Source organism: Homo sapiens, chromosome 2 (assembly GCF_000001405.40).
Source record: "Homo sapiens chromosome 2, GRCh38.p14 Primary Assembly".
NCBI classification, from domain to species: Eukaryota; Metazoa; Chordata; class Mammalia; order Primates; family Hominidae; genus Homo; species Homo sapiens.
This window is the reverse complement of record NC_000002.12, coordinates 100,861,170-100,878,692: the sequence shown is the minus strand read 5'-3', so window position 1 is coordinate 100,878,692 and position 17,523 is coordinate 100,861,170. Positions and strand designations below refer to the sequence as shown.

The 17,523-nt window shown below is 43.7% G+C and overlaps 1 protein-coding gene across 17 annotated transcripts in view; it reads right to left on the bottom strand.

The window, feature by feature from the left end:
• Positions 1-17,523, bottom strand: part of NPAS2 (neuronal PAS domain protein 2) — a 178,107-nt gene that overhangs the window by 118,137 nt on the left and 42,447 nt on the right. Inside the window, exon 1 of one of the 17 annotated variants that reach the window (XM_047444503.1) lies at positions 60-1,215. The exons of the other annotated variants lie outside the window; for them this stretch is intronic. Coding sequence (XP_047300459.1) covers positions 60-127 — 68 coding nt within the window. The 5' untranslated portion in view covers positions 128-1,215. Of the gene's footprint in view, positions 1-59; positions 1,216-17,523 lie in introns of those variants that run through there. 17 annotated transcript variants of the gene reach the window in all.

Sequence of the window (17,523 nt, the reverse complement as noted above, 5' to 3'; positions counted from 1 at the left end):
TACAAAATCAATGCCACCAAAATTAGAAAACTTTTTTTGAAACAAAACCGCAAAGTTACCTTGATTCTGTTAGCAGATAGCTGAAAGTGTATATTCTTACTGAACTTAATGTACCACACACGGCCATTTCAGTTGACGGTTAAAACCAGGTGTTCCTTTAGAAGAACAAACAAAGTAGCCAAATCTCTCCATGCCTTTTCTTCTTGCTTCAATGTCACAGAGGGAGCTATTCTCCAGCTTGTTGCTGTGGGTCTTTCTCATGTCCTTGTCCAACGCTGGAAAGAGGAACTGCTGGTTTTCCAGGTCCTCAGCTGCTTCCAAAGAAGGACATTCCGTTGTGGGTGACAGTCTCCTCCTGGCCTGCAGAGCCCTTGCTTAGGCAGAAATGTCAGGGAATGCTGCTTGCCTCACTCCTGGCTCCCTCCCGAGCTCCTCGGACAGTCCTCTATATTTTTTTGCCTTCTGCCCAGCTTTCCCTAGCATCTGGAGCCAGGGCCACTGCTCCTTGCACGGCCACACGCACTGACCTGGTCCCTGGAGGCTGTCTTCTGTCACAGGCTGCTTGTCTCAGCTGCTGCCAAACAACCTTCCGTGGACATAGGGGAATGCTGACTCGTCACCACTTTTTGCAATCACGGCAGGTCCACGGGGCCTACAAAGAACAGCACTCTGGTATTAGCTATACCACACGTAACTGATAAATTCTGCAGGCCCCAGACTATAAGTTTCCAGCACTTTTTATGTAGTGTTTCAGCCATGTTTACTGTTTGATAATTTCATTTTACTTGGTCCCTGGTATTGTACAAGAGAAGGTCCTTGGCATTCTTACAAGGCAGTATGTGAAATGAAATAAAAAGGATGCACCGGCTGAAGACACGGCTGCACTTGAGCCAAATGATGGGGTTCCCTAAGAGGGATGCCAAGCCAAGCTGCTTCGGTGATGAGTCACGCCATATTCAATTGACCAATGAAGGTTGGAACAGTAATCACAGGGTGCAAAAACATATCAGAAAATGCACATGGTGCTGTGTAAAATGGGTGCTATGACACTCACAGGATACTCTCAAGTGACAAGGTCCCCCGTGAAAACCCTTGGGGCTGTGAGCCCACCTGAGGGGAGGGGAGGCTGAAGGCTGCTTGGCCAATGCTTGCATGGCTCCAACTGTAAAGAAAAACAATCTTTAGAAGCAACTCTTCCAGAAAGCTCTCTTATTTCAACCATTTCTTTTTTTTTTTTTTTTTTTTTTGAGACGGAGTCTCACTCTAGTGGCGCGATCTCGGCTCACTGCAAGCTCCGCCTCCCAGGTTCATGCCATTCTTCTGCCTCAGCCTCCAGAGTAGCTGGGACTACAGGCACCTGCCACCACGCCTGGCTAATTTTTTTGTATTTTTAGTAGAGGCGGGGTTTCACTGTGTTAGCCAGGATGGTCTTGATCTCCTGACCTCGTGATCCGCCTGCCTCAGCCTCCCAAGTGCTGGGATTACAGGCATAAGCCACTGCGCCCAGCCTATTTCAATCATTTCAAATACAGCAATTCCCAGGAGGAGATCACACTGCCCTGACTGCCTCAGCAGAGTCAACTGAACATAACCATCAGCTCTCTTTGGTGGCTTGGTCATCAGGAGGAACTTGATCCATGACGTTGATGGAGAGGGCCCCGAGGAGGGTGACTGTGGGCTCCAGAGTCAGGTGCCCTGTGAAATGCCAAACCTCTTTGGTTCTTCTACCAGTTTTCTGTCATGTTTCTGTCCTTTTTCTGGTCCATGGGAGTCACCTGCATCTCCTGGTGGCTGCAGCTCTTGTTCTTTGCAGCATTTCTTGAACCCTGAGTGCTTAAGGGCAGACGTCCACCTCCACATGTCTTTGTTAAGAGTCGGGGAGTGCTCTCTGCCTTCCCTAGGAGCTTGGTGTGCATGGCTCCGGGACCTGTTTTCCAGACAGGCGAGATGCCCAAACAGATGGGATTAGGCCTGAGCCACCATAACATGCACGCTCCTGCCACCAACAGCAACAAGCAGAAGGGATCTGAAAGACTCCCCTTGCCACCAACCACACACCAGGCCCACATCTAAGCTCTTCATGAGTCACCACTGACGGGGAATCACTGATTTAAGGCTATAGTCTCCAAATACAGCTGGGCAGCAGAATTATTTGGAAAGCAACTAAAATACAGATTCCTGGGCCCCTAGGGCAGCTGGAAATTCTGACATATGGCCAAATGGAAAGGCCAGGTCCGAAAGGAAGAGACAGATACCTCGTTCTACGTTCTCCTGAAGCCCTCTTAGGAGACGTGGGAAGCAGCACCACTGACAGTCACGAGGGTGATGGGGCCCTGAGCAGCAGGCGTGGGGACCAGGTCATCACTGAATTTCTCCACGCAATGCGTTCTGGCCCCACAAAATGATACCAGCCACACGCCTTGGTTCAGGAGTTGTGAATACCCTGTTCACCCTGGAGAAAGGTTGCTAAGCAAATCTGTGGCTCCCAGGTGTCACTACAAATACCAGCTACGGGGAAGAGAGGAACAGAACCAGAGAGGCCGCAAAGGAAGTCTCTGTCTGATGTCAGCTGCCTCTGAGAAGGCCTGCTCTCATTTACTCAAACAAAAAAAAATTAGAGTGGTAAAGGTAGAGAAAAGCAAATAATTCGATCCACTGGAGTGTAATGGGATAACAGGATTTATAGCATTTTTGAGGCTAAAAATAGCTTAAGAGCCCTCACTTCAGAACTCTGAGCACTTCACACGGTTTTAACCCATCCTCCCATTTCCCTTCTGTGCTAATATCACGTGGCTTGAAGTTTGCTTTCTGCGGTATTTGATTCCATGTGGGTGTTTTTTCCTCATCCGTCTCCCCTTTTGTTACTTCAAGGGAAAAATAACCCTGGGAAAGCTTTCATGCCGTCTGCCATTGTTCTGCGTTTAAGGAAAAAAGTGCATGCTGCTTAATCTGGGCCTCGGGACCAAGCAGGCTGGCAAATTCCAGAAACTTTAAATCTTTGTTAAAAATGCCAAAGTAAACGACCTTCGGTCTACAAAGCTAAGGGGAGGCAGCCCTGCCCGCGCCTTTCAAGCCTCGACAAGCTGCGCGTCCAGGAGCCGCGCTGTGTAGGAACCAGCTAAGGAAAGCGACTGTCTCATGCCAACACTGGGGCATCATGCTCACATCTGTGTGATCCCTACATGCTGTGTGTGTGTGTGTGTGTGTGTGTGTGTGTGTGTGTGTGTGTGTAAGCTTTTAATTTTTAAAAATTTTATTTTTAAAAATTGTGGTAAAATACATATAATTAAAAATTTACCATTTTAACTGTCTTTAAATGTACAGTTCAATGGCATTAAGTCCATTTGCACTATTGTGCAACCATCAGACAGAAACTGCACCCACTAAACACTAACTCCCCATTGCCTGCTTTCCCCAGCGTTTGGCAACCACCATTCTGCTTTTTGTATCTAGGAATCTGACAACTCTAAGTGACTCAGGTAGGTGGAATCATGCAGCATTTGTCCTTCTGTGACTGGCTTATGTCACTTAGCATAACGCCCATAAGGTTCATCCATGTTGTAGCATGCGTCAGAATTTCCTTCCTTTTCAAGGCTGAGTAATATTCCACTGTATTGTATGGATAGAGCACATGGGCTTAAGCTTTTCATCCTAAAAATGATAAAAATATCAACCTGTTGTATGTCTTGGATTCCACATTCATTTTCAATAAATAGAAACTTAATAGACAAATGATCCAGCATGAGGCCCACCACAGTCACCGGGGCCCATCCGTCTCCTTGGGTCCTTGGTGTGGGGCCTGGCATGAGAGCCCCTGGAATTCTAGGATAGGAGACAGCCTGGAGGAAACGGCCCCGGGTTCTGGGCATTCTCTGCCTTGGCCACATTTTGCAGGGCTGTGAGAACGCTTGCAGAAAACTGATGTTTACTTCATTTTTATCTTTTTTTTTGAGATGGAGTTTCACTCCTGTCCCCCAGGCTGGAGTGCAATGGTGTGATCTCAGCTCACTGCAACCTCCGCCTCCCGGGTTCAAGTGGTTCTCCTGCCCCAGCCTCCTGAGTAGCTGGGATTACAGGTGTGCGCCACCACACCTGGCTAATTTTTGTATTTTTAGTAGAGACAGGGTTTCACCATGCTGGTCAGGCTGGTCTCGAACTCCTGACCTCAAGTGATCTGTCCTCCTCAGCCTCCCAAAGTGCTAGGATTACAGGCATGAGCCACCGTGCCCAGCCCATTTTTATCTTTTTAAGTGGTAGTTGCTATATGAGAATTCTCAGCTTCTTGGGTAAAGCAGAGACTATGCCTCCACCTTGTACAAGGCAATGTGGGGTGCTCCGCATATGGCAAAATCAAACATGACCAATCGTTGTTCTGCTCCATCATGTGGGTTGTACTCCATTACTTTCCTCTACTTGCTCAACAATTAAGAGTTGGTTATATATACTTTGGGAGGCCGAGGCAGGCGGATTGCTTGAGGTCATGAGTTTGAGACCAGCCTGGCCAACATGGTAAAACCCTGTCTTTACTAAAGATAAAAAAATTAGCCAGGTGTGGTGGCATGCACCTGTAGTCCCAACTACTCAGAAGGCTGAGGCAGCTACACAGAAGGCTCGAACCCAGGTGGTGAAGGCTGCAGTGAGCCGAGATCACGCCACTGCACTCCAGCCTGGGCAACAAGAGCAAGACTCCATCTCAAAAAAAAACAAAAAACAAAAAAAAGAGTTGGTTATATATAAAACTGCCAGCTGAACAAAGGCTTCTAGAAGCCCCTCTTATTTTTCAGGTTGACCAAAATGGGAAGACATTTCTGTCTTTAAGCCTTTAAAGCTACAGACAGTTATGATGGGGAGGAACAGGGCAGGTATGATGCTCAGGTATGATAGCGGTTGGGATTTTGGAGCTTACTTGTGCATCCATTACACCTGTGCAGCAGCCCTGCTCAAACTGCAATCCTAATCCACTCACAAATGAATCCCCGCTCCATTGCTATGAAAGTAAGCACTTTATAATATCGTAGTTACAAAATATTTTTATAGAGAGCATAAGAAAATGAAATGGTGTTTCAACAAAATGTAAAGGAGAAAATACAGAGGTTTAAAGGACTATCTATGTAGCTGAGTTGGCATATACTTTGGGGGTTACTTTCTGGGCATATTTCCATTAACTGTGAAATTTGGAGATAGGTTAAAAAAAGGGATACAATATATAGTGCTCTTGTGAGATTCAGTATTGTTGTATTGAGAAAATGAATCATACTGCAAATTTCTTAAGGTAGCTTCCTTGTGTGTTTTCAAATATATATATATTTGAAAAAATATATATATATACACATATGTGTGTATGTATATATGTGTGTGTGTGTGTGTGTGTGTGTGTGTGTGTGTATATATATATATATATATATATATATATATATGTATTTTTTTTTTTTTTTTTTTTTGAGATGAAGTCTCGCTCTGTCGCCCAGGCTGGAGTGCAGTGGCACAGTCTTGGCTCGCTGCAACCTCCGCCTCCTGGGTTCAAGCAATTTCTGGCTAATTTTTTTAATTTTAGTAGAGATGAGGTTTCACGATATTGGCCAGGCTGGTGTCAAACTTCTGACCTCAAGTGATCTGCCCACCCCAGCCTCCCAAAGTGCTAGGGTTACAGGCATGAGACACTGCGCCTGGCCAGTTTTCAAATAGATTTTAACTGGCATTCATTTATTCATTCATTGAACCAGGAAGTCTTTGGTACTTACTAGAACTTAGTCTGTTAGTCACAATAGATATGCAGATGAATGACACCAGTCTCTGCTCCAGAAGACAAATAGGATCTCAGGATGCCACAGACGCACCAAGGTGGTAGGGGGTTAGGGATCAGGGAGGACTTCCTGGAGGTGGATGCTGAGTCTTGGTAAACAGAGTTAGCAGACAAGAGACCAAACTTTTCTGGGCTTCTCATCCAGTGTTCAGCTCTAGAGTGAGGCAGTAAGAAGCTACCAAAGATCCACCATGCTGAGGATGGCCACTAGGTTCTAGATGTTTCTAGAAACCATTTCCTTTGAAAAAGGAATTTATAAATAGCCTCAGTAGGAAAAGGGAGATAGAGAACAAATATAAATGAAACCCCAGAAAATGGTATCTATCTACCATGTATTTGGCTCCTACAGTGTCTCCTGCTTTGGTGCTTTAAATCTATCATGGTTACTCCTTAAAATAAAAGTTTGTTATTATGATTTCCATTTTACAGCAGGAAAGACAAAGTCAGAAAGATTAAATAATATATTATGATAATGAATTACATTTGACGGCTTCCTAGGTTGCAGGCATGGTTCTAAGTAGTTTAAAATATATTATCTCATTTTGTCATGTTTGCCTTTGTCCAGATGAGGAAACTGAGGCACAGTGAGAGTGACTTGCCAATGCCCACTGGTTAGTCAGTGCAGAGCAAGGATTCCCAACTAAGCAGTCTGATTCCAGGTTGCACACTTCTGACCACAAGGCCATCAACAGCCTGTGCTCTTGCAGCCACAGAAAGCATATTGGTGAACACTTACACAAAACACACTTGCTGGTGATGGTTTCCAGTACAAATTAATTCTTCACTGCTCAAGCTGATGACTCAAAAGGAGAACTCCTCTAGTGCCATTAAATGCTATTTAACTTGCTGTGTTACAAGTTTGTTGTTGCTGTTGCATTCCCAAGACTATCTGCTGCTTGAAATGTGTATTTGGACTGAATGTGTAAATGGATGGAGTCAAGATATCTGCCTTCCCCCAAAGGGTCTGCAACAGAAGACCCATGAAGAGTGGAATGAGGTCCCTGATGTGGAGTGGAGAGACTTTAAGCGTCTAACTAAATTAAGTAAGGGTTTCCAAGGGCAAGCTACTACAATGTCTTTCAGCATGCAGAGATGAATTTCTAGTGTTTCAAAGGGCAAATCATGAGCAAGCTGAGGACAGCAGGAAAAGTTCAGTGGAGCAACGCTGGAGCTGAAGAGGTGACAAGTGTGGTTAATGAGGAGGTGAAGGCCTGGATACAGGATGCTCTAGGGAAGAGTTAAGAAGAGAGAAGTAGGCAGGCCAGGCGTGGTGGCTCACATCCGTAATCCTAGCACTTTGGGAGGATAAGGCGGGCAGATCACTTGAGGCCAGGAGTTCAAGACCAACCTGGCCAACACGGAGAAACCTTGTCTCTACCAAAAATACAAAAATTAGCCAAGCACAGCAGCATGTGCCTGTAATTCCAGCTACTCAGGAGGCTGGGGTGCAAGAATCGCTTGAATCTGGGAGGCAGAGGTTGCAGTGAGCAGAGATCACATCACTGCACTTCAGCCTGGGTGACAGAGTAAGACTGTCTTTAAAAAAAAAAAAAAAAAAAACAAGGAAGAAGAAGAGGTGGGCAGCAAGCATCCTAGCTCAGGACCTTAAAGCCAGGCTGAAAAACTCTTTGCAAAGTGAGATATGGTAAATATTTTCAGTTTGATGGGCTACCACAGTGGGAAAGTAGCCAAAGGTAATATGAACGGGTGTGGCTGTGTTCCAATAAAACTTTATTTACAAAAATAAGCTGTGGGTGAGTGGGTGAGATGTGGCCCACAGGCAGTGGTTGGCCAACCCCTGCCTTAGAGCATGGCATTGAAGAGAAGGCAACAGGTTGCCCAGGGCAGTGTGATGGGACACCCAGGCTAGCTGGCAGAAGGCTGTCAGAACAGCGTTAACAGGAAAGCACAAAAGTCATTGATCTTCTGAATGATAAAAGACTTGACTGGTCCAAAGTCCAAGGTGCCACTAGAGGGCACACAGCTGAATTCAGAGATGAGAGGAAGCATTGACTCCCCACAGGAATCTTCACCTAGATGGGACTGAAGCATCAGCGCTTGCCACAAGCATATCTGTTGGTACATGCACAGCCCCTCACACCATAGTGCTGGTTGGGGGTGTGTGCCCAACTACAGACAACATGGAAGAAGAAGGGACCTGCCTATATCACCCTCAGCTAGAGGAACTAAGCAGAGAAGGCTGGGAGTGGTGACTCACGCCTGTAATCCCAGTACTTTGGGAGGCCAAGGCAGGAGGATTGCTTGAGTTGAGTTTGAGACCAGCCTGGGCAACATGGCAAAACCCCATCTCTACAAAAACACAAAAATTCACCAGGTGTGGTGGCAGGCATCTATAGTCCCAGCTACTCGGGAGGTGGAGGTAGGAGGATCACTTGAGCCTGGGAAGCAGAGGTTGCAGTGAGCCAAGATCGTGCCACTGCACTCCAGCCTGGGCAACAGAGCAAGACCCTGTCTCAAAAAAATGAGGGGTGGGGTGAGAACTAAGCAGAGAAGTTGGTCCCTGTAAGAAAAAAGATGGGGCCCCTTGGCCTTAACAATACAGAACACTTATTAACTGCATGTGGTTTCAGTGTATACCCTGGACAGCCTCCTACTGAAGTCAGCTAAAAAGAATAAGAGAATAGGAAACTTCTGAATAACTGTTGAGCTAATATGAAAGTCAGGAGTCTGGGCCAGGTGCGGTGGCTCACGCCTGTAATCCCAGCACTTTGGGAGGCCAAGGCGGGCGGATCACCAGGTCAGGAGATTGAGACCATCCTGGCTAACACGGTGAAACCCCATCTCTGAAAACAAAAAATTAGCCTGGCGTGGTCGCAGACACCTGTAGTCCCAGCTACTCAGAAGGCTGAGGCAGGAGAATGGCGTGAACCCGGGAGGCAGAGCTTGCAGTGAGCCAAGATCGTGCCACTGCACTCCAGCCTGGGCGACAGAGCGAGACTCCATCTCAAAAAAAAAAAAAAAAAAAAAAGAAGTCAGGAGTCTGCTGGGGCCAAACACAGAGAGGAAGTGGGGTCCTGAGAGTAACAGGGTTGAACTAGCATGCTCACAGGAGGGGAGCCCCGGCCCAAGCCTTTTTGATATTGTGTGGATAAGGCAGGAGGCCAGAGATGAAGCCCATCCTTGGAGGGGAGGGGTATGCCTAAGAAGAGACCCTTGCTTGTAAAGCTCGACCTCAAAGGAAGGATGTGCTCAGTATTAATGGACATGAGGAATAAACCCGCCCACACGGAAGGGACAGGAAGGGAACATGCCTTTTTCAATGCCAAGGAGAAAGTTAGCCTCTCCCAAATAGTCCTAGTCCCAAACTGACCTTCACACAAGGTTCAGGCCCAAATTCCCACTGCGTGGTTTGAAAATCCTTAAGAGATCATTTCGAGTGGTTTCAGGTTGACAGCCTGCAGGTGTGTAGCAGAACAAACACAAATCCTCTGCAGAGGTAACTTTAACCCAGCCTTCAAAAAATTCTCACAGATCAAGTTCCAAGGATTAGGATCCTGGTCAAATTTCACCAAATGTACAAGGAAAAAGGTCACCCTGGATGGGATCCAGCAGAAACAACAAAGAACAAAATCAGATTCACAATGACCTCAAATACTTGAGGATCATATGTCAGTTATAAAATAAGCATGTTTAGACCAAGCATGGTGGCTCACGCCTGTAATCCCAAAACTTTGGGAGGCCGAGGCAGGTGGATCACTTGAGGTCAGGAGTTTGAGACCAGCCTGGCCAACAGGGTGAAACCCTGTCTCTGCAAAAAAAAAAAAATACAAAAATTAGCCAGGTGTGATGGTGCATGCCTATAATCCTAGCTACTCAGGAGGCTGAGGCACGAGAATCGCTTGAACCTGGGAGAAGGTTGCAGCGAGCTGAGATTACACCACTGCACTCCAGACTGGGTGCAGAATGAGATTCCATCTCAAAAAAATAAAATAAAATAAGTATGTTTAATATGTTTAAAGATATAAACATGAGGCTTAAAAATAAAGCAAGGAAGAAGGGATTATTTTTAGAAAATGAAGACCAAGCAATTTGAAATTTGAGAAAAGAAGAAAAGATAATTTCTGGAATAAGAATTTATTAATTTTTCTTAAAAACCCCAATAGATTGGTTAAAAAGAAGCTGAGACACAGGTAGAGTGAGAATTACTAAAGTTTAACACAGATCTGAAGGAATTATCCAGATTGCAGAATGCAGAGACAAAAGACAGAAAATATAAAAGGGAGAGTAAAATCAACAGACAGTGACCTAACACATGCAAAACTCAAGTTCTAGCAAGAGATATTCGAGGGAATGGGGTCTAGGAAATATTCAAAAGAAAATTTTCCAAAATTTATGAAAACCACCAATTCTTAGATTCAGGAAGCCTAACAACCCCAAGCAGAATAATTTAAAATGTATCTATTCCTGGAGACAATCACCATGACACTGCAGATTACCAAAGTCAAGGGAATCATCTTAAATGCAGCCAGAGAAAACACTGATTATCTAATAAGGAACAGCAACTGGATGGGCAGCAGGACTTTCAAGAGCAACCATGGAAGCCAGACAACAGGAAAAGAATCCCTTCAATGTGCTGAGAGAACATCACCATCACCCTAGATTTGTATACCCTGCAAAACTATCTTTCAACAATTGATAAAATAGAGATATTTTAGATGAAGAAAAAAGTTTGCTACTAACAAAATCTCACTAAAGTAAATCTAAATAATGCCCTTGAGGCAAAAGGAAATTGTCCCAGATGGGAATTTTGAGAGGCAAGACAAAAAAGTGAGGAAATATAGTGTGCTTCATAGAAAATAATACTGGATAACAGTAACATGTAAGTAATAAATCATTCTAAGGTCTTCATATTTGGGAGGAGAAAAATTAACTTAAAATTTTCATTAATTAAATTGAAATTTAATTAATTAATTTGAACAGAAGTTCCAATTAGTAGAGGAAAAATGTAATAAAGGGGAAAAAAAGGCAGAAAAAAATGGGACAAATACCAACTATAATATAAAATAGTTAAAAATAAATAAGTACTTCAGCTGAGCACAGTGGCTCATGTCTGTAGTCCCAGCACTTTGGGAGACCTACGAGGGAGGATCACTTGAGCCCAGGAGTTTGTGAGACTGGCCTGAGCAACAAAGTGACACCTTGTCTACAAAACAAAAACAAAACAAAACAAAAAGTACTTTAGTAATCATAATAAACATATAATCTCTCCAGTTAAAAAGATTTAAGAGTCATCACACAGGATGTTTTAAAACCTAGCAAACATTGTTCTCAAGAAACACATCTGAAATCTAAAAACAGAAAACTTAAAGAGTAAAAGGAGAAAAAACAAATACCAGGTAAATACTAACAAAAGGAATCTACCATACATCTGTTAATGTCAGACAGACTTTAAGGCAATAAACATAACTTAGTAGCATATAAGCATAACTTTGACATCAGAGAGGGCCACAAAACAAAGATAAAAGTTTCAACTTACTTGGAAGAGAAGATAATCCTAAACTTACATGCACCTAATAATATAGCCTCAAATTATATAAAGCAAAAAGCACCATACCTCAAAGAAAAACTGACAACTCTATCATAGTCATAAATTTCTGACATATCTCATAAGTGATATATCAGGCAACACAACAATTAGGATAAATAAAATTGAGCAGCACAGATCTAATGGACAAATATGGAATATTATACCCAATAATGGGAGAATAAACATTCTCTTCAAGCACGCAACAAACAAATATTGACCATTTAGGAAGACGCTGTTTTAGGTCACAGTAGACTATGTTTCAGTCCTCCTAACAGGGGATTTGGAGCATCCACTTCAAATTCAGCTATTTGTCAGGTGACCAAATATTACACTGGCTACAAAATAAATTAACTAACCTGTAAATGACTCTCTTTAAAATGGTGTGCTTAATGTCACCCCAAAGAACAAGAATTGTTTTCCCCGCTCACACAACTCACTGGACTGAGCAAATAAACAGCAAATTAGAAAGAGTATAGAAGCTACAACTCCTAAAATGACCATTGAGAACCTAGATAAAAGATTCACTTCACCCCAAATCTTGGAGAATGTTGATTTGTTACTTGCTGGATAGAATGTCAGTAAAATGAGAGCAGGAATCTTTGTTTTGTTCACAGATGTATCATCTAGTGCATAACAGCATTTGATAAATACTTCTGAATGATTGGTTGAATAAATGAATGAAGATCCTACACTACTACTAGATGTTCTTTGCCTTTCCCTGTGGCACTGTAATAATTCTGAATATTTTGTGATGTATATGCTACTTGGCAAGTGAGTGACCTAATCATCCCACATTTAGGTTCAGACATGGTATTTTGGAAAGAAAGCACCCAACATCTGCGTTGCTTTTTTGTGCTCCTGATGCCAGGTTAACTCTGAGACTGCTGGACAAAGAAAAAGATGCCATGATGGACATATCTGGGCTTGCTCATGGCAGCAAAGCCTGCTGGGAAAAGCAGAAAGAGGGTAGATAAAACAAAAGTGAACTTAGCTCTACTTCTCTAGTATTTTTCTTACAGGGAGGGGAATAAAATCACACAGTCAACAAATGACTCATGAGTCGCCTGCTCTTGACAAACTGTGTCAGGAGTATCCAAGGAGAAATGCAGAAGATGAGTAAGAATGCTTTGCCCTGATCAACTGTTCTCTCCCCATCACCCCCTCAACTCCTCTGCCACAGTGCTCACTCCACTTCCAATCTTTCAGGCCTCACTGATGGCACAGCTAGGGCCCTGCAGAGTGTGTGGCCAGACAGCTGCAGGGACCAGAGCAACAGAGAAACCATCCATTCATAAACGGAATTGCTGAGCATGAACATTGACTGAAGAGGGGCGGGTCACCCTGGGCTGTCAGGCTGAGGGTTGGGTCCAGGCTGGCGTCAAAATCAGTGAAGAGACAGGAATAAAGAGATATCAGGGCCAGGGTCTAGGCAAGCACTTGGGACTGGTAACAATTTTAGCGGGAGGTAGTTCAAGGTTTCCATCTATAGTACTGCCTCAGGTGTGACCTTCCAGAACTTAGAGAGTATGGTCCAAATAGGAGTCTCCTTGTTCCCAAAGTCAGCAGTTGTCCTTCCTGGACAGAGCTCCTTGAGTTTCCAAGTTAAATGGAAGCATGACTTCCTGCATGTGCATTGGAGATCCAGTCAGTAACACCAGGCACTTGGAATTGCCCCCTTTCCAAATTCTTCTCTGAAATGGGGTCAGAAGGTGGATTTTCAACAAGGGTTCTGAGTGTTTAAGAGCTTACCTTCTTATTTTAACTAGAAGTCATGGTGGTGATTGGTGTGGCCAGGTTACCCGACTTGAGCAAAGGTGTCCTACAAAGTAGACTATGTCAGCAGTCACCGGTCAGGGAACCAGGTGAATTGTGAGCTTCCGAAAGGTCAACAGTGCAGGCAGCAGTAGTCTAAGAACACATAGCAGGTAAGTGGGGCCTCAGCTCCACACAAGCAGACAGGAGTCCAGGCTACGTTCCCAGTACAGAGGGAAGGTTGAACATGCATCCAAAGGAGCATGCTGGCTCAGGCGGCAGCACGACCTGCTTCCTCCCACGGACTCCCAACTTCATGGACAGAGAACAGATTCGTAGTTGAGTTCAGGGTTCTTATGTTCAAGAATATTCCAGTTCAACTAATTACTCTGTATTAGCAGTTCTCAAAGTGTGGTCTGGTGACCCCTTGGGAGCTCATGACATTTTAAGGGGATCCATAAAGTCTAAACTATTTTCATAATAAAGCCAAGACATTATCTGTCTTTCTCAATCTCATTTTCTCACAAATGTACAGTGGAGTTTCCCAGAGGACACTGGCACGTGATATTTGCCTTCTGTGAAGCTGGACATTGAAGAGATTTGCAAAAATTAAAACAATGCTACTCTTCTCACTAAATTATACTGTTTGGGGAAACGTAGTTATTATTTTTGTGTTAAAATGCAATGCACTTATTATTTTTAAATGAATTAATAAACATTTTTAAATGTTCTCAGTTTTCATTTATAAGGTGATAAATACTCATAGATAAACCCACATAAACAAAACCTCTTTGGGATTCTCAATAATTCTGAAGAATGTAAAAGAAGCCTGAAATCAACAAGTTTGGGAACTGCTGCTCTAAATTTTCAACATAAATCCTTGGTTACAAATGTTGACACTTACCAGAAATACTTAACAGTCACTTTAAAGACTAAGGGGGTGTTGTGCCCCATTTTTTCTTTGTTATGTAGATGTTCAAGCAATATAAAAGACTTGTCAACCATTTTTCAATGCCATGTTCCTTGGTGCCTCAGAAATGGCTCCAGAGTTTCAAGGAAGACACTTCCCACGTGTCCCAAGGTAAGGTTCTCGTGGACTTTTTATTCCAAGGAGTTGTTGGCTAATCGTATGGAAACTTAATGCTGAACCCAGCACCATTAAATGCGGGAGAGGCTTTATTTATATCCGAATATTATTATATCACACAGTTTTGGAAGAGATCAGGGAAATTTGTGAGCAATTTAAATATACTAATATTTTATCCTGATGGACTACTCAGTCTAGAACTTAAGGTAATTTGGTAAACAACTAAAACAATAACCACAAAATGTTTTTCTGACATTCAGATGAGCACTCTTCCTCTACAAAACCAACATACAAATCAACAAGCCGAAAAGATAAAAGGTATCCCACATGGGCTCTGAATTATGAATAACTCACAGAGAAATAGGATGCTAATTCATAATCATGTAAGTCAACCAAATTCCCACCAAGCATCTAGCTACTGATAGCTCACTACACATCCCATCTTCATGACATCTCGGCATAATGCTTTCACAATTAGCCCAGTCTCGATATGATAGAAATATTTTCATTCACATTTCAGACAATTTCTAAGTGCTGAGTTGTGTTTGGCTTGGATTTGGCAGCGTGACAAATTAAGGTGTGCTTTAGGTCAAAAGCTTATACTGATGGAGGACACTGTCCATGAGAGAGAGAGAAGGAGATCTGCAGCAATCCTCACACTACAAAGTGGAATGCAAGGAGGGCTATATAAATTATATACATATATACATTAGAGCTCACAGATGGAAGAAACTAAAATAAGAATGGTCAAAATGGCAAAGATATAAAATATTTGCACAAAAAAACATGTCTTCACCATTGCGTGAAAATGGTCCAACTGTATTTAAGGATGCAACTCGTTAGCATTTATTTCTCATTCCTGTGTTTAGACTAGCAGGAAGAAAGAAAGAAAAGCTATTTAGAGTCATTCTCATGCCATTCTGACCCATTAGATATAATTCCCCATGAGACGCTCAAGCTGGGCTTCACATCCCTCTAGGATGTTGAAAAAAGCAACCACTCCTCCAAACATGGGGCACAGATCTGTGGGCCCACGGACTGTGTGGCCACTGATATGCACATCTTTCTATCTGCCAGGATCTCTTTCTCTAACACACAGATAGCAACTCAGGAAAGGGCTCATAGGTAACTGCATGGGGTTCCCATCAAACCAACCAACCAACTAATCAACCAAGCAACCCACCATCAAAGCAGGGAAGAGGAAGCAGAGTCTAGCAGCCATGGCCCTCTTTTGCTTGAATGGAACCAGTGTGGCTGAGCATCCAACTCCTACACCTGTGTGAGATGCTCCAGCACTTGGGTCATTGTGCTAAGTGCTACTAGCGGTAGACTAGCCCCTTCTGCTCTAGCTCTTATTTTAGACAGTGAGAAGGTCGGGCTGTTGTTTCAAAGTAGGCTTTCAGAGGCATCAGATTAACCAAGAGGATAGGTGACTGCCATGGTGGCACTGCTGTGCACGGGCTAAGGCTCTTGACACGGAAGTGAAGATACATCCTTCCTCACGACCTTATAGCAAGGCAGAGCTTACTCCTTCCTGACCCGACAACACCATTTCACTAACAGCTCCATACATAGCTGTTATTAATGCTGCCAAAAGGCAGGGTAAGAAGAGGGTCACTCACATACGTCCCCCTCACTGCCATGTCTGGTCTGGGGAGGACACAAAATGGGAGGCGTACAAGAGCAACTCCCGTAAAAGGAAGAGCTCATCAACAGGAAGTGGAGCACTGTCTGCCCCTTTCCACATAGAATCTAAAGCCAAACTATATGCAAAAGCCAGGCCCAATGCGTGTTTCAGGTGTGAAAAAGGAACGGCAGTGTGCTGACTTGCTGGAGAAACTATGCCATGGTACGTGTGGATAACCTGGGCAAACCTGAAAACCTTTTCTAGTCTACTGAGGAAGGTTATGGTAAGGGAAGCTCTGGGCAGTGACTGTCAGGCAGCCGCTGGATCACCATGCCCTGACCTCCAGACCTGACCACAGCCTTCTGCACTGCCAAGCTATGGTTAATACCAGCCCTTGATTTGAAATAAAAATTAAGCTACGAGGCAATGAAACCCTCCAACTTTGCTTTTCAGACAAAAGCAGAAGTTAAATACAGCCCGATGAATATCAGCTGTTTCTGATTTAGAGGCAAAAAAAACCCCAACCAACCCTCAAGTAAACATTACCAAAAATGCCAAAACAAACAACATCTGTATCTACAGAAATGATTGAACCTACTGCATAGAAGCCAGATCCCCTTCCGAGGTCTGATCAGACAACAAAACCACTGTGTTTGTGAACTACGCATCTACTTAGCAGTAGCTCTGACTACAGCTTTCTTTGAGATGTATTCTTTTTTTTCCTTTTACCCATCCGATAGGTTGTGAGAATGCTATGATTATAGTTTCCTCATCATAAATTCTTTATCCACAATCTATTTTTAATTACCCCTTATCAATTTTAATTTTGACATAATGTATTTTTTGACAGCAAAGATTTTAAATACTACATATAGACATACATATGTATACATACATATACACACATTCTTTTCTTAACACAGATCCCTTAATACAAAAAAAGTGACAATTCCTGTTGACATCTTCCCCAGTCCACCGGGTTGGTAGTCATAGGATGGTGCAGAGAGGTAATCTGTTTACATTTCTTTTTCTTGATACACATACCAACAGCCAGACCCAGAAAACATGCCCAAAGGCTTTCATATCTGTTGTGAAAATGCCAAGCATCTGCCAAGCATTGCAAAGGGAAAACAAGGCAGAATATGAGTTGAAGGACACACTCTTCTACCCAGGACAGCCTGATTCAATACCTGTAGAAGAGGCCCCCAGGTGTGTGGTCAAATCTCACCCTTCTCAGATATGCATCTCCAGCCCAGGCCTCCTTCCTGTGTCCCAGACCCCTGAGCCCACCTGCCCCTCACATGACTGCCTGGCTGACAAACAACTCTCAAGCTGCACAGGCCCGAATCAGAACCTTCCATCTTCCCTGTCCAAGGCGGCTCCCCTCCTCCCCTTGTGTTTCTTTTGTCAGAAAAGGACACCTCTGTTCTCCCCGACATCCCACCCATCACAATTCTGTCGGTTCCAGCTTCAAAATCTACCTTAAATCCATCCCATTCTCTGTCTGCACTATGAATATCAAGCCCAAGCCAGCAGACTGAGCTACACCCTAAAGTTTTCCAAGTGTTCTCCCCGGTTTGTCTCCTGCTTCTCTTCAATGTGCTCCTCAAGGGTAGACACAGTAATATGTTAGAAATGCCAATCAGATCAGGCCACTGAGCAGCTCGGAACCCTTCAGTGCCTCACTCTTCTCGAAAAGAGCCAGG